This window comes from Homo sapiens, chromosome 2 (assembly GCF_000001405.40).
Source record: "Homo sapiens chromosome 2, GRCh38.p14 Primary Assembly".
In the NCBI taxonomy this organism is placed as follows: Eukaryota; Metazoa; Chordata; class Mammalia; order Primates; family Hominidae; genus Homo; species Homo sapiens.
Genome location: NC_000002.12, coordinates 169,325,346 through 169,351,834, shown reverse-complemented (window position 1 = coordinate 169,351,834; position 26,489 = coordinate 169,325,346). Strand labels below are relative to the sequence as shown.

Genomic DNA, 26,489 nt, shown 5'->3' with positions numbered 1-26,489 from the left:
TGGCAAGGCCCTGATCCTGGTTAAATCCAGTTCTCCACATCTGCAACTCTGTAGCTAAACATGGCAGGAGAAAAACACAACTATACTGACTAGCCTCGCTTGACATTCATGAAGCCAATCTCAAGCTTAGGACTTGCTTCCTAGTCTGTCTATTGCCTCTCTTGCTTCCTTATATCTTCTCCTCTTTCCTCAAACCTCTGACATCACCTTCTCACATGTAGAGTGAGCTTTTTAAAACTGTGAAAATGGAAGCAACCAGAAGAGAATTCCATAAACTTCTATAACTCAACCATCATCATTTGAACTTCGTCTTATATCTTCTGTCTTTCCTCCTATTACTCTGGAAGAATTTTCCCAGTTCTTAAGTCCAACCATTTCATTCATGTTCTAGATCTCATTCCCTCTCACCTCTCTGCAATTGTCCCCTCTTTCTTTTATGAAATCCTCTGTTCCACATTACCTTCTAACTATCACTCTATTTTTTCGGTTCCACTTTACAGTAAAATTCTTGTACAGATGTGCCTATATCCACTGTAATTACCTTTCAATTTTTTCTCAAATCCATGCCATTTTGCTTTAGCCCTCATCCTTGATAGATATTTTTTTGGTCAAAGTCACTCATGACTTCCATGTTGTTAAATCCAATGATCTATTTTCAGCTCTGGTCCTTATTTAACTGGTTAGCAGCATCACACACAGTGTATCCTGACTTCCTCCTTGAAACACTTAGTTAGATTTTCAAGAAACTGCCTTCTCCTGGTTTCTTTTCTTCCTTGCTGGCCTACCCTTGGTATCTCATGCTTGTTCCTGTCTATATCCCTGACCTGTTTTCATCTCTAGCTACACTGCCTCCTTGGTGGCCTCATCCTGTCTCATGGCCCTCTTTGAAGCAGGGAGTGGTTTCCCAATTCAGGGAGGCGGCATGGACTCTGGTGGAAAGAACATCACATGTCAAGTCAGGACATTCATGGATCTTGTTCCTGAAGAAAGAAGGAAAAATAGGCACAACCAAAGAGGGCCCCAGGCTGCTGAAAAGGACCCAGGGCCACTTGTCCTCTGGGGATAGTCTCTGTCATCTGAGTCCCCACTTTTTTTTTTTTTTTTTTTTTTTGCGATGGAGTCTCGCTCTGTCACCCAGGCTGGAGTGCAGAGGCGTGATCTTGGCTCACTGCAACCTCTGCCTCCCAGGTTCAAGCGATTCTCCTGCCTCAGCCTCCCAAGTAAACTGGGATTACAGGTGCACACCACCATGCCTGGCTAATTTTTGTATTTTTGTAGAGATGGGGTTTTGCCATGCTGGTCAGGCTGGTCTCAAACTCCTGACCTCAAGTCATCCTCCTCCCTCGGCCTCTCAAATTACAGGCATGAACCACTGTGCCTGGCCTCAGTCCCCATACTTTTGAGGACTCCATATATACTTCTTTACCATGTACATGCTGACAACTTTCAAATTTATGAATCTAATCCAGACCACTACCCTATAGTCTAGACCCACATATCCAACTGCTCATTTGACATGTCCACCTGGCTGGCCAATAGTCATCTCAGACTTCACATGTCTGAAATTGAACTCCTGATCTCCACTAATGTCCAAACTTGCTTTCCATGTGGAATTTCTCATCTCAGCAAATGGCTTCCTCATCCTTGCTCAAGCCTCAAACTGTATCCTACTTTGACTTTTCTTTTGCTCCTCTACCCCATATAGAATTCCTTAGAAAATCCCATTGTTTTGATCTTCAAAATACATCTAGAATCCAACTACTTTTCACCATCTTCACTTCTGCCACCCTGATTCAACCGACTGCCCTCTCTTGCCTCGACGATTGCAATGGCTTCCATACTGATTTCCTTGCTGTAGCAACTTTTTTAGAACATCAGTCAGATCACAGCACCCCTCTGCTCAGAAGCTCCCATGGTTTCTGTCATACTCAAGTTGGGTTGCCCAAAAACAGACACTGAGATGGAGCTTGGAGTATATAATATTTATTAAGATCAATGCGTGTGAAGGGAAAGGGAGGAAGCAGGATGGGCAGAAGAAGAAGTTGAACTCTGGCAGCTGTTGGTCAACCCAGAGGAAGCTCTGGAGCAAGAGTTGCCTGTTAGAGTGTCCTATGTCAGGCTGAAATGGCCTTGCTTAATCACTGGATGTGGCCTGTCCTGGAAGGACACGACCTTGGGCAGGTGGCTTTCTATAGCTGAGGCAGACCCCAAAGGAGCTGATTGCAGGAAGAAAGTCCTTCCTCATAGCTGGTCCTTCCTATAAGGGGAAGCTGCATGGCACAACTCTGGGTGTACCACTGCTTCCCATCTCATGAAGAGTCAAAGTCCAAGTCCTTACTATGATCTACAAGACCCTAACCATTTGGCCTTCACATCACCTCCCTGACCTCATTTCCTTCTCCTCTCCCCATGCACAGTGCACCAGGCACAGTGATATCCTTGTTTTCCCTGACATGGTGAGCACTTTTGGGCCTTTGCACTTGCCCCCCTTTTTCCTAAATGCTCTTGCCTCAGATGGTGCATGACTTACTTCCTTTCCTCCTACAGGTCTTTGCTCATAGGTCACCCTCTCAGTGTGGCCTTCTCTGATTCTTTCCCGACCTCTTCTTTCCTGATTTACTTTCTCCATTGCGCTTACCACCATCTGACATAAGGTATGTAACTTAGTTAGTTGTTTGTTTATTTCCTTACTTATTATCTTCCCTTCCCTAAGATGTAAATGGCACAAGGGCAGGGATTTTCATCTCTTTTATCCATTGCTTTCCCTAGTGTCCAGAAAAGGGCTAAATAAATGAATATACATTGAATAAATGAATGGACAGATGTCACCATGGGTGCTAAGAAGGGGCATCCTCAGCTCATCACCATTCCCTGGTACTACCAGCCCTTAATTCCTCGAGGCCCCTGGAGGCCCAGTCAAGGTCCTGATGGAGAAAAAGGAAAATTGCTGTCTCTATCAAAGCAAGTGGCTTAGCAACGCTGTTTCTCTCGATCTGACTCCCCCCTTTTCTCCACCCCAGTGCCTCCCACTCCCGCCCTGCTGGTGATTCCCAATGCATTTGAGTAGTTGAATCTGCATCCTTCTTTTTAACTTCCATCCCAGATACTTGGTTACCCTGTGAGAATTCCCCTGTACATACAGAATGGGTCATTCTGCTATTTTTAGGACAGATTTGATACAGTAGCTTTTACAAAAAGATAAGCCAAAGTTTTTAGACTTCGTGTTAGTGGACTGTCATTCTGTATTTAAACAGAACACAAAAGAAAGCTGTCTGAGACCATGACACAGTGAAAACAGCCTTGATCAAACAAAAGGCCCTCTTTGAAGAGGGGAGTGGTTTCTCCACTCAGGGAGGCAGCATGGATTGTGGTGGAAAGAACATCACATGTCAAGTCAGGACATTCATGGGTCTTGTTCCTGATGAATGAAGGAAAAATGGGCACAGACGAAGAGGGCCCCTGACTGCTGAAAAGGACCCATGGCCACTTGTCTCCTGGGCATAGTCTCCCTCATCTCAGTCCCCATTCTTTTGAGGACTCCATACGTAACAAATAGGTTGGAGGCAGGAGAATGATGGAATTCCACACATAGATGAGTAGAGAAGTTGGGAAATAAGCCACAATAAAAGTGACTAAATTATTTGAGTGCTTTCTATACCAGGCATTGGCCTAAGTGTTTTGTAGGTATTAGTTTACCTACTTATGTAGTAACAGTAAAAATTTTATGGATAAAGGACCAAGACAATGACAGGTGAGGTAATTTGCCCAAAGCAATTCAGTTACTAAGTGGCAGAGCCAACATTTGAACCCAGAACCCTTATTTGTATATGTTGTCACCATGGATAATTTGGAGCAAGTGGAAGATAGTCCTCTGTACGTAATCAAATGAAGCCTCATTTAATTTCTCATATTATGATCAGATGACCTCATTTCAGAGGCTGGTACCATTGCGACCCAACTTTTGGACATTTTTTTGCTACTCTTGGCAGTTCATTCATTCATTCATTCATTCAATATATGTTGCAGCCTTATCATGCTCTAGGCGTGATGTAACTAGGTACTGCAGAGTATAGACAGAGACCTTCAACATAGGCCACATCCAAAACAACTTACTATTGAACAGAGTATATTTCCACTTCCTTCTAGAAGACTAGAAGACTGTACTTTTTAGGTACGGATTGATTTCTCTCTGCTGGGTTTCTCCTATATTACTATTTCATTATCTGGGAACACCTTTTTTTTTTTTCCCTCTATAATTATGTGTCTTTTAATTCAAAGGACCCTTACCTAATCAGAGAGTTCAATTTTAACCTTCCGTTAGGGACAGCAGTCATCTATAAATTTTCAGAGGTTGTTGTTGTTTACTACTAATGAAAAAAATTATTAAGTTCTCTTATTTAAAGTCACTGAAGAAAAAAATGAACAACCAAGTGAGAGCTGAGTTTCTTTACTTCCCGGAGAACACTGCTGTTGTAGAGATGGAGAAGACATTTCCTATGTGCTGGATGTGCTTAAAGGTCTCTTGGTCCCAAAGTATCTCTCACTACGGCCAAAGATCTCTGCTCTGTCATTACTAAAGTCAGTTCTTCGGAGTAAGACATTCTTTCCTCCTGAAACTCCTATTACAATGTGGAAATGTTCACTCCTGTAGGGTAAAGTAGTTAGTTGAGATAGTAATGCACAGTAAATGTTTGTCAGAGCAAGGTTCAGAGAGAAGGAGACACAAAGCTGGTATGTTTTAATGGGGATGAAAGAGGGAAAGAAGGTACTAGAGGTGTGATATAGTCTTGAAAATAAGCCAACTTCCTTTTCTGGGGAATAAAGGGTTATTATGCTTGTGCTTTTTCTTAGAATGGCTTTATGGGGAATTTCAGCTGTGATCTATTAGGAAGGCCTCAAAGATAGAACTTAAAAGCTTCTAGTATGGCTGTCCTTCCTCTAGTTAGCAATTGAAACTGAGTTGTTACAACAAAAGGAAAAGTTGTCGTTAAAAGCAACACAGTTGCAAGACTCCATCAACCATTCCTTGGGGATTCATCAGTGCCTGGTAAGTTTGAGAAGAGACCCTTGGATTTTAATATACATGGCAGTTATAATTTGTCTAGACCATAATGATTACTATTAATAGGGAATCCTGTTTTTCTATTTTTAAAAAAATTTAGAGATGGGGGTCTCACTATGTTGCCCAGGCTGGATTCAAACTCCTAGGCTCAAGTAACCCTCCTGCCTCAGCCTCCTGAATAGCTGGGACTAAGGTGTGTGCCACTGTGCCTAGCTCTGTTTTTCTTTAAAGTTACTGTGTAATAAAAAAAGAATTTGCAAATGCATAAAATTGAATATACACATGTCCCAAGTCAATTGTCAAATGATTGGTTTTTATGTACCAAAATTCTGCATTTTTTTTTCAAGGTCACTTCTGATATAAGAATTTACTTCTTCCCTAATATTTGGTTCAGTGAAGTGTTGAAAGAATTTGCTAAGTAATCATTGAAAGCTAAGATTCTAGTGAAAAACAAAATGCATGGTTTAAAAATTGAACATACTAACTGAAAGACAGTGGAAGTTAGATGCTTCTTGCTGTAAATAATTAAACCCAACAGTGCAGACGAGAGAACATGGCACCAAGAGGGACTTGGGCTAAGAAGGATCATATTGTATTGAACACTTTCGTTTCCCTGTAAGGGAAATCAAAAGGGTCTTTAATAGTTGTTGCTGATTGTGAATATGTGCAACAAAATCCCACTGTAATCCAGATTTATTTTTCAAGCATTTTGCTGTGATTGAAGGAAGGAGAAAGGGATAGGAAGAGGATGGAGTTTTATTAAAGCTGTAGTTACTTCTTCCCTTTAGGAGGTCTAAGTGTGACTTGTCACAGTGACCTGGGACTTTGATTCCCTCCAGGGCCTTCCTGTTCTATGGGCACATTGGTGGATCAAAGACAATTGACTTTTGTTTTGTTTTGTTTTGTTTTGTTTTTGGAGAGAAGCAGTGGTTCTGCTAACTCAGAACAAGAACGACAAGAGTCATGTAGGATGTTTTTCTGAGTTTCTCTAACAGTGCTCGTTTTTTTTTTTTTTTTTGACCGCCCCCTCTTTTCCTTTTGAGGTGGGGCCAAGGGGTCAAACCTCCATTTTTCTATCTGTAAAAAAGAGAATCGGCCTTTATGAAGTGCTTTAATTTTAAAAATTAACATAGGCTAAAATTGCTGTGTGTGTGCACAGTTCTGTAAATGTTAGTGCATGTATATATTTGTGTAGCCACAACCTCATTCGGGATTAGAACAGTTCAATCACCCCCACTAACTCCCTTGTGCTACTCCTTTGTGGCCACACCCTCCCAATAAAGTGTGTTTTAAGTTCCTTTTTTGAAAACTGACCTTCCCAGATGAATGTCTCTGTTGCCTTTTATTTGTTCATTTTTATTTACGCAGTGTTCCTTGCTCATTTTTGAAGTAATTCAAAATGACACTCACGGTAAGCTTGCAAGGCTGCCTTTCCTTTACTATAACGGAGAAAAAATTCTGGAAAGAAGGCAGCTCTTTCAGTATAGTCATATAAGAACAAAATTTCCCCAAACTTGGCTTGTGGCTAGATTGGAATCCGTAAAGAAAACACACTCAAGAAATCTCTCTTGAAGAGGAGGACAGAGGTTTATTTTTTATTTAACGATTTACCCCTTGACACCTGGGAAATGATTAGTTGATGTTTTCAAAGAAGATTAAGTCAGTGTGGTTAATTAACTGTGGTAATCAGGTGACTTAAATCAATTAACTCCTTGTTAACAATTTCCATCAATTTTGTAAATAAATGACTAAATCAGTAAATTGTACTCTTAAGATTAAAGGCTATTTTCTGATTTATTTTTTTGATGACAAATTAGAGTGTTTCCTTCTCATCTCAGTCACTGCCTGCCACTCTTGCTCTTAATCATAAGCCAGTTTTAGTTTGAGAGGAGCACACCAGGGAAACTTTTAATATATGGTTTTAAGGAAAAGTCAGGCTTAAGGACACCTTTGCTCCTTCATCTCAGCACATTTGGAAAGAATGATTTAGTGAGAGCAGTAGTTGGGGGTGGGTGTAGAAAGCAATCCTGAAACACACTCTAGGATAAGCTTTTATTATTAAGTCACTTAATGTCTTGTTTTATTTATGTTTTCTAAGTTAAAACTCGATGAGGGATATAATAAAATGAAACAGGGTTTGGCTCTTAGCTAAAAATAAACTTTAATGGATGTCTTACATGCTCTATTTAGAGGGAATTTCACAAAATATTGGGATATATTGACTGCATTCATTTGTAAAGCTTGATTGCATTAAAAATACCATACAAATATACAACTAAAATGTTGTTACTTTTTAGAATCTTTATAATTGAAAATTCTCTTCCCTGCTTACATAACTTTATTATGTCTTTGTCTCCAATGAAATATGAGCTGGATAAACTAACACAAGAACAGAAAACCAAACATCACAGGTTCTCACTCATAAGTGGGAGTTGAACAATGAGAACACATGGACACAGGGAGGGGAGCATCACACACTGGGGCCTGCTGGGGGTTGGGGGGCTAGGGGAGGGATAGCATTAGGAGAAATACCTAGTGTAGATGACGGGTTGATGGGTGCAGCAAACCACCATGGCATGTGCATGCTTATGTAACAAACCTGCACGTTCTGCACATGTACCCCAGAACTTAAAGTATAATAATAATAAAAAAAGAAAGAAATATGAGCTGGAAAATTATAAAACCATATCCTATGCCCCTGAATATGCCATTGCATTCTCTGAGGATTTTCACTGTAGGACAGATGATATAGGTTTATTTATGGTTTCTTCAAGAAGGGATATTTGGCATCTTGAATAACTTTTGAGGAGTTAGTAAATATTTATGTATTTGCAAAAATTCTATGCTATTCTCACATTTTATAAAGAGAAAATTTCTATGGCTTCCTTTAAGGTATTAAGGATAGATTAAATTGTGAAACTGAGCTGAAGCCACTGTTGTAAATTTAAATCACTGGCTGCCAAGCAAAATTCTGGGCTCTTCCTATTATTATAGAAGCTTTCTGGCCATACCCCAACTACCCCTTCCCAACTTCCCTGGACATAGTTAACCTGTGGCCAAACCCTTTCTGGTACTGGGACATGGTCTGGAATCACAGCTCAGAGATTTAGCTCGACTGCTTTCCAGATGTGTACCTCTGAAGCTCTCTGAGCTTCAGTTTCCTGGACTATACAATGGGTGTTAGTAATTTCTACCTTATAGGTACCTGGGAATATTTAAAGGATATTGTGAACATGCAAGGTCCTGGCACTTGGTGAGCATTCAGTAAACATTTGGCCCCACAGGGAACCTGATATTAAATCATTCATAGTTGACCAGCTCTTGGTTAGGTCATGCAGCAAAGCAGCCACCATGCTGTGATTTTTTGAAATAAAGAAACCACTTGTCAAATTCTCTATCCATAGAAATTGCTGGGGAAAAATACAGCTTTTTAAAGCAGATGAAACTACTAGACAAAAAAATGTTGGAAGACAGGCCTGGTCACCTGCCTTTCTTCCCCCAAGAATGTTTGGTTCTTCACCTCCCAGGTCTTGAAGGCACAGATCCAAATGTAAAGTTGCCAAGAAGTTCAAACGTTGGTGGACCTGGTGTTTCCATTTTAGGTGTCCTGTGCATGCTTTCTGTAACTTGGTTTTATGCAGAACTTGCTGATGATGTCTCTGTAACTCTGAGAACAGGAATGATGGAAGCATGGGTCTGAGTGGAGGTCAGATGTGTCCTCTGGGCAAGGAGAAGGATTTGCCCAGGGAAGACTACACTTGAAGAGGAGCACTTGATTTTGTGAGAGGTTTTAGACAGAGCATGTAAGAATCACAGTCAATGAAGAGTTTTCTCTCTTGCAAAAGTTCCTTATTATTTCATGAAACTACAGAAAGGTCAGTGAGATGTTCAATAGGTGAGAAAGCTGTCAAGCTAGACTTGGTTAATAATTACAGTTAAAATAATCACTGATGTATTTCTTTCACACACGTTTATTGCAAGCTTTTTTTTTATCAGGAACTGACATGCATAGATGAATAAGACATGCAAATAAACAATTGTGCTACAGGGTGAGAGGTCTATAATAGAAGTTTGGGAGCACAGAAAAGGCAGTGATGTAGTCAACTAGACCTGAGAGGACCAAGGGCCAAGGAAGACCGCACAGATTGCCATTTGAACTGAGTCTTGAAGGAGTTGGGAGAGTGGACTGTGGAGGATTTTGTATGTCAAGCTAAGAAGTTTGGTGCCTTTGAAGAAATGTAAGCTGGGAAGTACAATGCTCAGATTTTCATTTTGTAAAAAGAATACTTGCTGCAATGAGAGAAAGCAGATGAACTAGTTAAGTTAGAGGATTACTGGGATTATCTGGGTGACAGATGATGAGGGTAGAACTAGACTTGTGCACTTGGAAGTGATGAGAAAAGGAGAGAGTCACCATGGAACAAAGAGAAAGCTTTTATTTGTTGCCGTTTTTGATAATTCTTGTTATTTGTTTTATAAGTTGGCATGTTTTATTTATGGGAATATTAGACATGTCTTTTCAATGTATGTGTATGTTAATTACATTCATAAATATTCAACTTTTTTTTTTTTTTTAATTTTCCTGCCTGAAAAATTTCCAGCTTGCTGTCTGTCTGGGCATAGCGTGTGACATTTTCTTTGTTTTAGTTCACTGATTCCTAGTTGGTTCATCTCCCTCAGGGAACCTTTGGAAACATATAGTAGCATTTTTTGATTGTCACAATGCCTGAGTATCCCTGCCAGCATTTAGAGGGCAGAGGACAGGAATGCTAAACCGTTGCAATACACAGGATAGTTCCATACTACAAAGAATTGTCTGGGCTTAAATGCCAATAGTTCTTTTGTTGAGGGCCCATCTTGGTTGATAGGAAGTGAATAGAGAGGCAGAAAGGGATGCTATTGGTAATAAGAGCGGTCATACACTGAAACTTATTATATGCCTGATATATAGTCACCATAGCTATAGCATTTGTTCTTGTGACACTCCAGGGAGGTAGATACCATTACTATTCCCTTTTTACTAATGAGTGAACTGAGGCAGAGTAGGATATTTGGCTCTGGGCCTCACATACTTAACTCTAATACTCTGTTTTTCCACATGCTTTACTTTCTTGTAACTTTAAATTAATAATAAGAGGAAAAGGAGAACCACACTTGCTTTGTGCTTTACAGTTTGTTAAATATCAGAATATACCTCCTGGAAACATTTCTGCCAGTTTAGTAGAATATTGACAAGTTATCGCCTCCAAGCATTTTTAAAAATATGGAAAATATTTGATGAAATTTTTTTAAAATTAGGATGCCTTTGTAGATTGGAAGAAACTCTTATTTGATGGAAAAACAGTTGGTGCTCCATAAATGCCTGGGGAATTGAATTGACTCTGGAGGCACTTAGTGTCTTTAGAGGGTGTCAAAGATCTTGCAAATTTATTTTAATTTTAATTTTAATTTTTTTTTACTTCACATAAAAGAGAATCTGCCTCACGTATGATCTTTGTAATTTGAAGACGTGCCAGTGACATTGATGAAGAATGTGACTTTTTCTTGGACATGCCTTGCACTTCCCTGTTTCTGTGCCAGTTCTAGTTTGTTTCCTCTGTGAGGCGTCCCCTCCCCTCAGATCCATCTATCTGTAGCTTAAATGCACCTTTCTCTACAGGACCTTTCTTGATATCCACTGAATGTTATCTGAACCTCTCTTACAGCATGTCTCCTCATGCCATGAGATACAATCATTTGTGTATGTATTTTATCTCTTCCTCTAGAAGAGTACCACCTTTTGGGAGAGGCATAGAACAGGACCACTGATGCTAAGAGTATGCCTAGCTCCTCTGGTCTCTTGTGTCTGGCACAGTGTCAGGCATAAGCATGCACTCAAGAAATTTTTGTTTAATAGAAAGTCAAAAGAACAGCATGTGTTATAGTAAAGCAACTCCATCATGGTGGGGAGGTAATAGGCATGCTCTACTCTGGGCTCCTGTCGCAGAGAGGATTTTGTTTGGCTTGAACAAGACAAACATTTAATTCTCTCTTACATAACCAGCAGTGGAAGGCTGGTCTGGTGGTTCCATGATACCATTAGAGACACAGGCTCCACAGTCCTCTGCTGGTGACTCCCATTCCTGAAGTCACCTCATTGTCCAAAATGGCTGCTGTAGCCATAGCCATCCTTTCTCTATGCCAGGTAGTGGGATTGCAGAAGGAGAAAGGAGGACATGCCTTCTCTGTTTAAAGGAGACTTTCCAGAAGTCCCACACAACACTACTGCTTGCATTTGATCTCATCGATTAAGACTTAGTCCTATGATCACATTTGGCTGAAGTTTGGAAAATGTAGCTTTTTAGCTCAGCACATAGTTCACCTGAGTAACACTGGGTTCTATTACTGAGGAGAGAGAGGCAAATGAATGTTAAAGTATGCCATGACTGCTCCTGGCCAAAGCTGGTCGGGTGACACTGCACATCTTCTCTTCAGCTTTGAATACCACATTTTGGGAGAGGCATAGAAAATTTGAACCTTATTTGAAAGAGAGAAACAAGAATGATGAGAAAACTGGAAACAATATTATGGGGGAATGATGGAAAAACTGGAGATGTTTCTTTTGGACAAGAGAATAGGGGAACAATGGTTAGCTCTCCAAATATTTGAGGAACTATTATATGAAGAAGGATAAAACTTACTCTAAATGACTCTAAGAGATGGGAAAGAAATTGTAGATATATCGTATGCACCAAAAGAATGCTGGAATTTGACTTTAGGGTCACTTTTAACCTTTGACCTTATATAGTACAGATGCATACCATATAGATGTATCCATAAGTTTGTGCTTTTGAGGTTAAAATATTGCTTATTCTCTGGTTACTTCATATTGGAATTCTCTTTACTGAGGGTTGCTATGGTGATAACACCCTTAGCAGTCTGCATTTTGAAAAGCTTTGGACTTTTCCTTTTGTGAGATGTGGTCTCTATGTTTCCCCCATGCTTGGCGTTTTTCAAAATATCATCAAGTCAGAAACAATTTCCAAATTTATCAGAGTGAAGTGAGGAGAATTTTAAAATTGTAGATACTAATAACAGGGGTTAGTAATTCTATATTGTACAACTCAGTGATTCAATAAATATTGTCACTATCAACTTCTTTGGATTAAGATAGCTATGTTTAGGCAACTGGTTAGTGTTATTTAGTTAAGCATGTATTTTTTAATTATTACTAAATTTCTTAAACACCCTTGAAATATAATTGTTGAAAATGTCTTAAAAACACAGCTAGTATCAACCAGAGAAATAATTTAGCAAAGAGTTAATTTATTTCACTAAGTAGTGATATATTTTTGAACGCATGTGGAATAGATGTGTGCCTATAAACTTGACTTTGTGAATTAAGTTTTATTTTTCTAGTTCAGTTTTACTTTGAATATGGATATGTTGTTGTTTTGTGAATCTTAGACATCAGAAAGATTTAGTTGGGAAGAGAAGTAATAATGTAAAATAAAAGTAATAATAAAATACTCAAATTTCTGTATTAAATTAGCTTTTGGGGGAATTAGCTACATAATTAGGTTATTTTAATAGATTTTCAAACTGGGTTGCAGATGATGAATATAGAAGAGCTATATATATACATAAACTCTCATATAAGCAAATATATAAGAAGCAAAAAAAAAACCCTGTAGAATTGAGAGGGAGACAATATTTGGAGTTTAAAGGATCAGAAAACACTGGCCTAAAAATAGTATCAGTAATCAATTTTTATTAAACACTTACTGATATGCCAGACCCATAATCCTCACTCTACCCTCATATTAATGTTATGAGTAAGAGCTCTTATTATCTCCGTTTTTAGATGAGGAAACTGAGGCACAGAAATTAAAATGGCTGTCAGATAGTTAGTAAGAGGTGGAGCAGTGGTTTGAATCCCTAGTATATGACTAGAAGGACTTCACCCTGGACAGTTACTTGGCTTCTAAGCAGTCTTCGCGTGCTCTTCCCCTTCCTTGCCCTTCTGTAATATTATAGTAGTTTCCCAGTAGTATGCAGCATCTGGCTATTCAGACTTTGTCTCTTAACCTTCTGTGGAAAAGCTGTTGACTTTTAGACATGCTGGGCAGAATGGAAGAAGGAAAATACAGACTGTTATACTTGGAGAAATAATGATTTCATATGTAACAGTAGTTGAATCAATAGGTGGACAAATTTATTGAAACTTCTTGAGTTAATCCAGTGATGGTAAACAAACACATGGCCAAATGAGCACTCTATAAAGCATGCCTTCTGGAATGCATATTGTCTTGTCTTGTCTTTTTCCTTCCTTCCTTCCTTCCTTTCCTCCCTCCGTCTTCCTCCTTTTTTCTTTTCTTTTCTTTTCTTTCTTTCTTTCTTTCTTTCTTTCTTTCTTTCTTTCTTTCTTTCTTTCCTTCTTTCTTTCCTTCTTTCTTTCTCTGTCTCTCTTACATTCTATCTTTCTTTCTTTCTTCCTTCCTTTTTTCTTTCTTTCTTTCTCTTTCTTTCTTTGTTTTTCTTTCTCCCTTCCCTTCCCTTCCCTCCTTCCTTCCTTCTTCCTTTCTTTTCTTTCTTTTCTTTCTCTCTTTCTTTCTTTCCTCTCCTCCCCTACTCCCTCTCTTCCTCCTTCCCTACTTCCCCCCATTTCTTTTTCTCTTTCTTTTGCTCTGGGTTTGCTCTGTCAGTCAGGCTGGAGTGCAGTGCAGTGGCATGATCATAGCTCACTGTAGCTTCAAACTCCCGGGCGCAAGCGATCCTCCCACCTCAGCCTCCTGAATAGCTAGGACTACAGGTGTGCACCATCACACCTGGTTAATTTGTTTTGTTTTTGTAGATACTGGCTCTCACTATGTTGCCCAGGGTGGTCTCAAACTCCTGGGCTCAAGCGATCCTCCTGCCTCAGCCTCCCAAAGTGTTGGGATTATAGGCGTGAGCTACCTTACCTGGCCTCAAGTCTGTTTCTTGATCAGTAAGCCTGGTAATATTGGGCTGTCTTGTGTGCATATATGTAGATGTACATGCATGCATACACATATATTCCACTTTGGGTGGAATGGATGAATCTTTTGTTTCCAGTGGAAGGAGTTCTTTGAGTTACAAATAGTAGAATAAGGGCTTTCAGTTTAAACAGAACCCACATGAGTGTTTCATTAATCATGTTCACGTGTTAATGGATTCTCTTGAGGCCTTTGGAGTCATTGTTTTTGCAATATTTCCTTAGGGCCTTTTTCTTCAGTCCAGATTAATCTAAAATACATTGCACTGATCCAGAGATGTCACCAAATTCTCCTGAAAAGCCCTTTGACTGTATTTGGGCTGGCCTGTGCTTTTATGGAAAAATGCTATCTCACTGCTGATGAGGTTTCTGGCATTAGCAAAGATGGCCTTATACATGGTACCACAACCTATGTGGTACGATGTTAGGAGCCCTGATAAGATACTCTGTTCCCCTACAATCTGCTCCATCAAGCCAGTGAGGAAGGTATGTAGGCATTAGGAATGCCTAAAATGCCACAATTAGAAAATTCATTCCTTGGAGGGCTTCTGTTTTCTGCTGAAAGTGCAAACACCCGTAGAAGGCTTTAAGAATCTCTCAAACCTTCCCGTGAATAAGTTCACCTGGGAGCAGATTTTTGGGGTCAGGGTCGTGAGCCATGGAAACTCTGGCCATGTCATGGGGATCTGAGGGAGAGAGAAGGAGAGGATTTTTAGACAGCGGTGGGGGAAGTCAGGCGGAGGTGGGACCATTTAACTAGATAAGGCTCTAATCGTCTCATTCCTGGACTATCAGAACAGCCTTTTAAGTTTAAGTTGCTTTTCCCTCTTTGTAACCTTACCCACCAAACTTTGTGAAGTGTTGAGTGCTTATAGTAAACAGAGTGAACATAACTCTTCCCAGGGAAGAACTGGCTGACTTTAGTTTCTTGGTTTCTGGAAGGAGATGGGATAGTTTTATTGGCTTGCTTGAGGATAGCCAAACGGTTGTGGACAAGAGGGCTTGTTTCCTGACAAGTGTTATTCTGCCTTAAGAATACAAAGATAAATGGTCTACCAGAGCTTCAGTACCTGTTTGTTGCGTTGCATTTAGTTTGGAGTGTTTGCTCTGTGCAGTGGAGAATACTTTGGAGGGTGGTAAGGTCTCTCTGTTTCATTACTGGAAAAGAATAGGAGTGGGGTCATGGCAATGGGGTATTTCATTCCTCTGTGCGTGTGTGTGTGTGTGTGTGTGTGTGTGTGATGGAGTCTTGCTCTGTCACCCAGGCTGGGGTGTAGTAGTCCAATCTCAGCTCACTGCAGCCTCTGCCTCCTGGTTTCAAGTGATTCTCCTGCCTCAGCCTCCTGAGTAGCTGGGATTACAGGTGCATGCCACCGCGCCTGGCTAATTTTTTTGTATTTTCAGTACAGATGGGGTTTCACCATGTTGCCCAGGCTGGTGTTGAACTCCTGACCTCCAGTGATCCAACTGCCTCAGCCTCCCAAAGTGCTGGGATTACAGGCATGAGCCACTGCGCCTGGCCTCATTCCTTCGTTTGCAGGGGCTGGATGTCTAGGTTTATGGAAATCTATTCTCATTCAAACAGAAATAGGGTAACAACTTAAGATAATAAAGTTTTTCTTTGAATGAATTAGAAAGGCATTATTGTATGTTATTTTAGTCAAATAATATTTTTGCATTTATTGCATTCTTCTGTTATATAAGAGAAAGTTTAGAGAATTAGGATAGTGAATACTTTTAATGCTTGTTTTTTTTTTTTTTTTGAGATGAAGTCTCACTTAGTCACCCAGGCTGGAGTGCAATGGCACTATCTTGGCTCACTGCAACTTCTGCCTCCTGGGTTCAGGAGATTCTCCCAGCTCAGCCTCCCAAGTAGCTGGGACTACAGGTGCATGCCACCATGCCTGGCTAATTTTTTGTATTTTTAGTAGGGATGGGGTTTTGCCATGCTGGCCAGGCTGGTCTTGAACTCCTGACTTCAAGTGATCCACCCACCTTGGCCTCCCAAAGTGCTGGGATTACGGGAGTAATCCACCACACCTGGCCTTTCATGCTTTTAGGAAAAATTTGAAATTCTTTTAAACGTGGGTCCTGGAGAATCGCTGAACTTCCTTTTTTTTTCTTCTATTGAGACAGAATTTCTCTCTGCTGTCTATGCTGATTACAGACTCCTGAGCTTAAGAGATCCTCCTGCTATGGCCTCCCAAAGTGCTGGGGTTACAGGCATGGGCTACTGTGCTGGCCAAACTTTTTGAATGGAAAACTTTTTAGCTTGGTTTCAGTTGATTAATCCTCAATTTCTTTATGTCCTTAATTCTATGGCTTATGCCAAGGCATGAGTTGAGGTCAACAGAAATCCTTTTATGATGATAGAAAGATAACGATGTCCAAGTTTAATGTACAGTATAATGACTTAAGGTCAATTCTGGGAAAGCCTGTATGTTTATCATCAATTTCTTTTTGGTGATGGAATTATACACCTACAGTATTTCATGTAAAACTCCAGAGGATCACCTGAAATATGAATGATTTACAATGGACAAAATAATAAAAATGCTCATCGTAGGAAAATACAAAAATATATAAACAAGAAAATAAACATAAAAATGCATAAACAAGAAAATAGCAAGTTGGGAGCAAGCTTGCTTTTGACTCTAGTTTGACCTGTGTTTCTCAGAATAAATCTTGATTTTCACTCTTGCCCTTGACCGAAGACTGGGCCAGTGGAGGCAACCACCACCATCTGTGCTTTCAGTGTTGAGCATCCTACCAAGCAAGGTGGCTTAGATTTTGAAAGTTTTCTCTCAGTCAGATAGTAGGGGAACAACTCTTAGAATGTTAGAATTAGATGAGTAGTGGGAATGCCCTGGAAGGAACCACCCTTCATGGAGGGACGGCTGTGCTTCAGGCATTGTGCCAGAGGTTTACAGGGACCTCTTTAATCCTCACCGTAACCTGATTTTGCAGGTCAGAAATTTTGTAGGTAAGAAAACTGCATACTGTATCAGTTTAAATTCAGGTTCATCAAGCTAAACCAGTTCAGTAACAAATATTTATTGAGTGAAGGTTCAGTGGTAAATGAGACACAAACAGTTCCTGCCCTCATGGAACTTAGAGTTTGGAATGACACAGGGACAGTCAGTGCTTTGCCAGAGTTGAAAGCCATGCATCTCTTGGCTTTCTGGCGATTGCTTTTTCCATTGGTATTCTTATTTTAGCCATTCTTACTGAATTTAATTTAAATTTTACTTAATTATTATAATGCCTATGGATCCATGTTCTGCATATTAGCTCACTCATACTCATCCAAGACTGTAACTATAGGTACCCAACACCCAGAATTGAGATGGCCACTGAAAACTCTATTCTTGACCAACACTCTAATATCATTTTATTTTCTTTAATTGCCTTTGTAAGAAGTATAATACAAACAAAACTCCAGTAAGCAAATGGCTTTAATTATTTGTGTGTCAGTTAGTAGAGATTTTATTGTATATATTTTCTGGTATAGTTTATTACTGAAGCCGTACTTCTTTTTAGCATTAAAATTCTAAAATTTTATATTTATAATAGTGACAAAGGTTTTTACTGTAATTACTAATGATATTTAAAACACAGATTAGGCAAAATCTTAGGAAATATACCCTGCTTTTTTTCCTTCCATTTCTGGCAATCACTGCAGATAAACTTGTAATTTTATTCATGTTGCTATTAATATGGGGACATTATAAATTCATCATGTCTGTGCAGAAACCTGAACACCACTTTATCACACGTGGGTATCAGTTGGTGACAATGTAATATTGTTGATTCTGTGTCAACAAGCTATTGAATTGTTTCAAGTCATCACAATCACATTATAACGTGAAGTGATAACATTGACAGAGCCTGAAAGTGGTTTGGAGACCTCCTCATGCTATTTGAGCCCAGGCATAACAAACCAGGGCCAAAGGACTCCTGGTGCAAAGATAACCTGCTGGTGAGGCATGTTCTGAAGTTCTTTTTGCTCAGTCTGTTAAAAGCAATCCAGTAGGGGAGACACAGGAAATTTAAGGTCATTCTACCATGAGAGTATTTGCAAATATAATAGGTCCTTCTTTACAGATTTACAAGGCAATGATTTGGCATTACATTTGTTTCTCTATAGGGAAATTAAAATCATGATTATGCTATATTAGCAAATTGCTTATAAAACAAATTACAATTTTTGATTGTAGGATAAGAAGTACTCTTGTAGCCCCCTCCCTCCCTCCCTCCCTCCCTTCCTTCCTTCCTTCGTTCCTTCCTTCCTTCCTTTTCTTCCTTCCCTCCTTCCTTCCTTGTAGATCTCTTTGTCATCTTTTGGACATCATCTTAGTTTCACACATATATTCTAACACATCATATATAGTTCGTTTATTGAGGGTAGGCTGGGTACTAGGAGGTCCTGTAACAGGCCCTGGGAATACAGAGGTCGCTTAGTCTCATCTGTTCTGTTCCTTATATTTCACATATCCAGGTCGTGGCAGGAGAATTTTGAACTTTCTGCTTATAAAATCATTTCCAAGGCATAACTTGTCACTAAAGGGGAAAAATACAAAAATATTGTGTAAAACATCAGCAAAACCAGTTTTTAAAAAAGAGAATGACATATTACATTTTTATTAAAAATGTTGACTTCAGTTTACTAGATGATTAATTATCAGTACTTACTGCCCAAGAAAAGGCTTTTAAACTTATTGTTGGAAATCTTTTGGCACTCTTGCTGCACAATATTTCTTAATAGTTTAAGAAAATTCTTACTCTGTTGGCAGAAGCCATACATGCCCATCACTAAATGGTCAAGGTCGAGGCATGCCTGTGTGTGCAACTCAGTTATTCATCTAACGAATGAACTGTGAATAAAGTTTAGTGTTTGTGTGAATAACAATGCAATGAGCCTCACCATCACCAAGCATAAACATTTCTGATAAGAGTTGTCATCAGAGTTGCTTATTGATGTTGAAGCATTGGTTTCGTTAGAGTAAATTATGTATATATATGTGTATGTGCATGTACGTATGTGTGTGTATATATATATGTATATACCTGATCTCTACTTTCTGAAAATTTACACATTTAGAATGGGAGGTTATTTAGTTCCTAGCATGTAACTTGTGACTTATAAACCCACTTAGCAATTACATACTGCTTCAATCTGAATTTGGGCCATAGCTAAATAAGGGTGAGTTGCCATTTTGTACCAAATTGAGGTTAAGGTGCAAGATGCCAGGTGTCATTTAAACCAAGGCTAGGATGCAAGATGCTAGGTCTCATGAAATTTAGTGTCTGGACACTGATTGCTAACCTTGACATCTCTCCTTTCTGCCCTCTTTTTCTCTGTCTCCCTTTTTCTTTTTCTCCCTATTTTTGCCTCTTCTCTCTCTTCTCGTTTCTTTAGAGCTTGTTGTTACTATTGCGATAGTCAAGAACTAAATAATATGGAGTTAGGGAGAAGGAATACAGCAAGGTGTTTATAAGATTCAGTCAAGAAGGTCCATTTAGTAGTTATAAATAATTTAGCCTATGACTATGGGGAATTACCAAATCTACCAATTGAGAGTCAATTTCTTCTCTTCTTGTTGCTATTGTCATAATTTGCAGTATCCAACTATTGTTCACTTGATAACCTGGTGATCTCATCTGATTATTAAGATGACCAAAATGAAAGTGATGTTTATAGCTTTAACATATCCATGTCAGTTTGATTTATGGTTCAACACTTGGACCTAATTAATCAGGAAAACCCTAATTTGATGCTGTCTATCAATGCTAGTCTGAAACACCATTCAAAAGCCTTAAGCAAGAAAGCTGCCTTTCTAAAGTCTCTCTTGTCATTTATTTCTCATGAATGTCCATTTTCTTTTTTAGTGTTTGATTCCACTCAACCATTTTCCAGTAATTTATATTGCTAATCAAAAAGCCGTATAGGAATTCTCTGGGTGACTGGGACTGGAAATGTGCTCTGAAATGGGAATGATTTGTAGTTTTTGCACAGGGTGTGTCAAATCATGAGGTGCTGAAGGGCATGTTATTCTTGTAAGTAGTTTGATTCATTGGGTCCTTATTTACCTGGGCAGGCAGGCCATCTTAAATTTTCTTCTGTTTGGATAGTGTTCTTTTCAACATCCTGTAAGTGTAGCTCTTTTACCATGAAAGATGTAAATAACCAGTTAGTCTCTAGTGGGGATTGGGGCCAGAGGAGAAGAAAGTCTTGAGCTTAGTTTCCTTCCACGTGTAGGGAAGGTTCCTCTCCAGGAACCTCAGTGACTTAGCTGATAGAGGAGGCACTGCATGAGCTATTCAGGGGGAGCACAGAAAAGACTGGTACAAATACACTTTCAGTGCTTTGATGCTGGCTAACAGGAAGTTTTCATTGCTCAGCGTTCTTGGTAAAAACTTGGACATTCTTTTGAATGTTTGAGCGCTTAAGTGATTGTCAATTTATATTTTTAATTTTTTGTGAATGTATGCAGTTGGGATGGGGAGAGGACATTTGGAGAAATTATTTTTTTGCTCTGATAATGAATACGGACGGGAAAAGTTTGCACCACAACGCAGAGGTGCTTATGACTGTTTTTCATAGCCACAATCCTTTACATTAATGATGAACTACTTGAGGATTTCAGATGCTTGTGTTTTTCTAGTGTGGTCCCCTCCCCTTGAAGGGGTAGACCTGTGGACGTGTGATGGAATGGAGCATTCCAGGGTGAAACAGGCCTTCCTGGAAATTAGATTCTTTATCACTCTCCCAGGGGAGTTCATTTCAAGTTGCTGGTACTAGCAGCTGCAGCGTGAGATTGCCCAATCCTAGGTGCTCTTATTGATGGGTGGGAAGGAGTGGGATTGCTGTTTAAGAAATTTTATTATCTTTAGAAGGGAAGAATGTATTATGTTTTTTTTTTTTAGATGATCTCTTTCATGTGGGCTAAGATAATTTTGAGCTCTGACTGTCCAAGCTGCTTAGAGGTTCTGAGTTGTTCTCCACTGGGGGTGGTACTGCCACTCTCAAGCGGCATAGATGTGCCTGGGAGTGTTTTTGTCACCGTGATGTGGGGGAGCACTACTGGTGTTCCACAGGTGGGGGTCAGGGATGATGTACATACTGCTTTGACCAGGACAGTTCTGCAAGATGAGTAATTGTCCCACCCCAAATGGCGATAGCGTCCTCTGAAGAACCTCTGAGAAGTGTGGCTTTGCTTATAATGTTCTGTAGTGCTGATGGACTGCCTGATTGTAGAGGTGAGAGGTGCATAATGAAAAAACAAGTGGGATGTAAGAGCCTTGGGGGAGAAAGACAGGTGACTAGTGTTTAAATGGAAATGGAGAAGGGTAGCTCAGTTATAAATGGCTCAGTTTAAATCTCTCATTGCTCAGAATTGAGAGGCTGCTCAAGTAGTACATCTCATTCTGCTGCCATTTGGTTATTGGAAAGGCACTTTATTTTAATTACTAAGCAAATATTTAAGTAATCTTTGAGATCAACTATCTTGAGAGCTGACTGGATTCTGTGGCCTGGATACTCAGAAACATCCAGCTTGGAGAGGATGGTGGGGGCTGGTCACTAGGATGTTGTTGGCAATGCCCTAAGGCAGCGGTCCCCAAGCTTTTTGGCACCAGGGACTGGTTTCGTGGAAGACAATTTTTCCATGGACAGCAGGGTGGTGGTGGGGGAGGGATGGTTTCGGGATGACACTGTTTCACCTCAGATTATCAGGCATTAGATTCTCATAAGGAATGCACAACCTAGATCCCTCTCATGTGCAGTTTACAACAGGGTTTGTGCTCCTATGGGAATCTAATGCAGCCACTCATCTGACAGGAGGCGGAGCTCAGGCACTAATGCTCACTCACCCGCCTCTCACCTGCTGCTGTGTAGCCTGGTTCCTAGCAGGCCACGGACCAGTACCAGTTTGTAGCCCAGGGACTGGGGACCCCTCCCTCATGGAACCTGTTCGTAGTTTGCCATGCAAGCGGACCTGCTTTGGATGCTTCTGGGGCAGCTGGAGGGGCTGCAAGGTGAGACCCTTCTCTGCTAGCAGCCTCTTGCCTGCACCTACCAGCCTGCTCACTGGGCTCAGGGTTGGGGTGAGGTTCTGGGGATTGAAGTGGAGCTCCAAGCTCTTTTCATGGTCAAAGTCTGTATGCTAGTTCAGGCTTTACCTACTCAGAGTGATCTTCACTTTTAATGCAGTTATTGTCTGAGTAATCACCCTCATACTCATTTGACAGGCACTCTTTGGCTTGGCACTGAAAGCTCTTTTTCTCCATCTTCTCAGCCTTGTTGCCTACCACTCTCCAAGAGGTCATCACTGCTTGGGTCATACTTATTAGACCCTCACCCATGCTAAGCTTCTGTCAAGTTTTTGTTCTTTTTTTTCTTAGAGACAGGTTTCACCATGTTGGCCAGGCTGGTCTTGAACTCCTGGCCTCAAGTGATCTGCCTGGCATGGCCTCCCAAAGTGCTGGGATTACAGGCGTGAGTGATCACGCCTGGCCTGTCAAGTTGTTTTGACCCTACACACAAAGCCTGGTCTCCCTCTTCACCTTCCCAAATCCTGCTCATTCACAAAGACCCAGTGTAGTCTTATAATTCTTTGTGAAGACTTCTCTGATGACACCGGCCTGTAGTGTTATTTTTTTCGCCAAAGTCAGTTAGTTTTTATTATCTCCATTGCTTATTTGGAACCAAATTGTCTGTTGTCAGAGGCATAGCTTTGGAATCAGACTGCCTCAGTGTAAATCTGTGCTCCACTACCTACTAGCTGTGAGATTTGTTCAAGCCTTGTCGTCCTCATCTATGAAATGGGGCCATTGATACCATCTCACAAAGCTGTTGTGAGGATATGTAAGGTAATGCATGGGAAGCACTTAAAATATTGCTGGCAAGTTCTGGGTGAACAAATGCTGTCATTTGCTTTGCAGGACATGAAATGATGAAATAAGTACAGGCTCTGGAGTCACACAGGTCCTGGGGCTAAATCAGACTTCGACATTTTCTACCTTTGTGGCCCTTGGGGGAGTTGGTTAATGTCACTGAGGCTCAGGTTCCCCTTCTATTAAATAAGTATAAATCTCACATCATACAGTTCTGAGAGGATCCAGTGGATATGTATAAAGCTTTATATATTGTATAACACATAGTAGGTACTCAGTAAACAATATCAGCTGTTGTTATTGCATGGATATTTAATTTATAACATATAAATCACTTTTGCCCCCAATAAACTTATAGGCTCTGTCAAAAAAGGACCATATCTTTTTATTTATTTATTTATTTATTTCTTTTTTTTTCTTTTTTTTTTTTTTTTTTTTTTTATCCCGGCCCGTTCTCAATGAGCTGTTGGGTACACCTCCCAGACGAGGTGGTGGCTGGGCAGAGGGGCTCCTCACTTCCTAGTAGGGGTGGCCGGGCAGAGGCGCCCCTCACCTCCCGGACGGGGCGTCTGGCCGGGCGGGGGGCTGACCCCCCCACCTCCCTCCCGGACGGGGCGGCTGGCCGGGCGGGGCGCTGACCCCCCCACCTCCCTCCCGGACGGGGCGGCTGGCCGGGCGGGGCGCTGACCCCCCCACCTCCCTCCCGGACGGGGCGGCTGGCCCGGCAGAGGGGCTCCTCACTTCCCAGTAGGGGCGGCTGGGCAGAGGCGCCCCTCACCTCCTGGACAGGGCGGCTGGCTGGGCGGGGGGCTGACCCCACCTCCCTCCCGGACGGGGCGGCTGGCCGGGCAGGGGGCTGACCCCCCCCCACCTCCCTCCCGGACGTGGGGCTAACCCCCCCACCTCCCTCCCGGACGGGGCGGCTGGCCGGGCGGGGGGCTGACGCCCCCACCTCCCTCCTGGACGGGGCGGCTGGCCGGGCGGGGGGCTGACCCCCCCACCTCCCTTCCCGGACGGGGCGGCTGGCTGGGCAGAGGGGCTCCTCACTTCCCAGTAGGGGCGGCCGGGCAGAGGCGCCCCTCACCTCCCAGACGGGGCGGCTGGCCGGGCGGGGGGCTGACCCCCCCACCTCCCTCCCGGACGGGGCGGCTGGCCGGGCGGGGTGCTGATCCCCCCACCTCCCTCCCGGATGGGTCGGCTGGCCGGGAGGGGGCTGAGCCCCCCACCTCCCTCCCGGACGGGGTGGCTGGCCCGGCAGAGGGGCTCCTCACTTCCCAGTAGGGGCAGCTGGGCAGAGGCGCCCCTCACCTCCCGGATGGGGCGGCTGGCCGGGCGGGGGGCTGACCCCACCTCCCTCCCGGACGGGGCGGCTGGCCGGGCGGGGGGCTGACCCCCCCACCTCCCTCCCAGACGGGGCGGCTGGCCGGGCGGGGTGCTGATCCCCCCACCTCCCTCCCGGACGGGGTGGCTGGCCCGGCAGAGGGGCTCCTCACTTCCCAGTAGGGGCGGCTGGGCAGAGGCGCCCCTCACCTCCCGGATGGGGCGGCTGGCCGGGCGGGGGGCTGACCCCACCTCCCTCCCAGACGGGGCGGCTGGCCGGGCGGGGGGCTGACCCCCCCACCTCCCTCCCGGACGTGGGGCTGACCCCCCCACCTCCCTCCCGGATGGGGCGGCTGGCCAGGCGGGGGGCTGACCCCCCCACCTCCCTCCTGGACGGGGCGGCTGGCCGGGCGGGGGGCTGACCCCCCCACCTCCCTCCCGGATGGGGCGGCTGGCCGGGCGGGGGGCTGACCCCCCCACCTCCCTCCCGGACTGGGCGGCTGCCGGGCGGAGACGCTCCTCACTTCCCAGACGGGGTGGCTGCCGGGCGGAGGGGCTCCTCACTTCTCAGATGGGGCGGATGCTGGGTGGAGGGTCTCCTCACTTCTCAGACGGGGCGGCTGGGCAGAGACGCTCCTCACCTCCCAGACGGGGTCGCCGCCGGGCAGAGGCACTCCTCACATCCCAGACGGGGCGGCGGGGCAGAGGCGCTCCCCACATCTCAGACGATGGGCGGCCGGGCAGAGACGCTCCTCACTTCCCAGATGGGATGGCTGCCGGGAAGAGGCGCTCCTCACTTCCTAGATGGGATGGCGGCCGGGCAGAGACGCTCCTCACTTTCCAGACTGGGCAGCCAGGCAGAGGGGCTCCTCACGTCCCAGACGATGGGCGGCCAGGCAGAGACGCTCCTCACTTCCCAGACGGGGTGGTGGCCGGGCAGAGGCTGCAATCTCGGCACTTTGGGAGGCCAAGGCAGGCGGCTGGGAGATGGAGGTTGTAGCGAGCTGAGATCACGCCACTGTACTCCAGCCTGGGCACCATTGAGCACTGAGTGAACCAGACTCCGTCTGCAATCCCGGCACCTCGGGAGGCCAAGGCTGGCGGATCACTCGCGGTTAGGAGCTGGAGACCAGCCCGGCCAACACAGTGAAACCCCGTCTCCACCAAAAAAGTACGAAAACCAGTCAGGCGTGGTGGCGCGCGCCTGCAATCGCAGGCACTCGGCAGGCTGAGGCAGGAGAATCAGGCAGGGAGGTTGCAGTGAGCCGAGATGGCAGCAGTACAGTCCAGCTTCGGCTCGGCATCAGAGGGAGACCGTGGAAAGAGAGGGAGAGGGAGACCGAGAGGGAGAGGGGAGAGGGGAGAGGGGAGAGGGGAGAGGGGAGAGGGGGAGGGAGAGGGAGAGGGAGAGGGAGAGGGAGAGGGAGAGGCAGAGCAAAAAAGGACCATATCTTATTTTTCTTTTTTCTTCCACTGATCCTAGGACAATTGCATATAGTAGTTATGAATTTATTTGTGGCTTTAGTGAATCTGGCATCATATTCTTTTGGTCCTTATTTATTTATTCATTTATTTTTGCACTTAAATGATGTGTCTACATGATAATGCATCAATTTGCATTGTGGGTTTTGTCCCCAAATCTTTGACTTCTTGAAATGTCCTTATAGTATTGTTTTGCTCTAAGAAAACATCAGGGCTCTGAATCAATAATTGGGACAAAGCAGTCTATTCAGTGGTTTGTAAACTGGATTAAAAAAAAAACCCAAAAGAATTCCTGCCACCTATTTGATGATCTGTAAGGAAAACCAGACAGTTAAAATGTTGCACAGAAAGAGACTAGCAGGTTGGTTTGCTGTTCCTGTCTTGTTTCAGTTTCATTAACTGAATCCTTGACTATTCTATCAATTTGACACTAGACAGGGTAGAGTGCTCCATACAATTTGTTACCCTTGGCTATCATCACTATAGTGTAAAGTTTTGGAAATAAGCAGGTGACTCTAAATCTTCAAAAGGGGACTGGCCTTGTTTATGTGGGCAAGGTATGGGAATTGTAGTGAACTGTCAGCCAACTTATGAATATCAGAAGGATGTCTATCCATACCAAAGGAATCAAAATTAAGTATAGAAAAAGTGAAGCAAAAATTATGGATAAGTTAAGGAATTGCCTCTTAAATTTGTTTGTTTCTTTGAGTTCAGTGAAGGTGGAACTATTAAAAT

At 42.8% G+C, this 26,489-nt stretch overlaps 1 protein-coding gene across 3 annotated transcripts in view, besides 1 other annotated feature; it reads left to right on the top strand.

The window, feature by feature from the left end:
* The window catches only part of LRP2 (LDL receptor related protein 2), a 235,426-nt gene that overhangs the window by 10,700 nt on the left and 198,237 nt on the right, over nt 1-26,489 (top strand). Inside the window, exon 1 of one of the 3 annotated variants that reach the window (XM_047444340.1) lies at nt 9,153-9,300. The exons of the other annotated variants lie outside the window; for them this stretch is intronic. The gene's annotated coding sequence lies outside the window, so the exon portion shown is untranslated. Of the gene's footprint in view, nt 1-9,152; nt 9,301-26,489 lie in introns of those variants that run through there. 3 annotated transcript variants of the gene reach the window in all.
* Nucleotides 14,850-15,050: a silencer, noted in NCBI's record as "peak3915 fragment used in MPRA reporter construct". NCBI's record gives its function as "represses an SCP1 promoter by STARR-seq MPRAs in K562 erythroleukemia cells {active_cell/tissue: K562}" and the evidence as "EXISTENCE:reporter gene assay evidence [ECO:0000049][PMID:32103011]".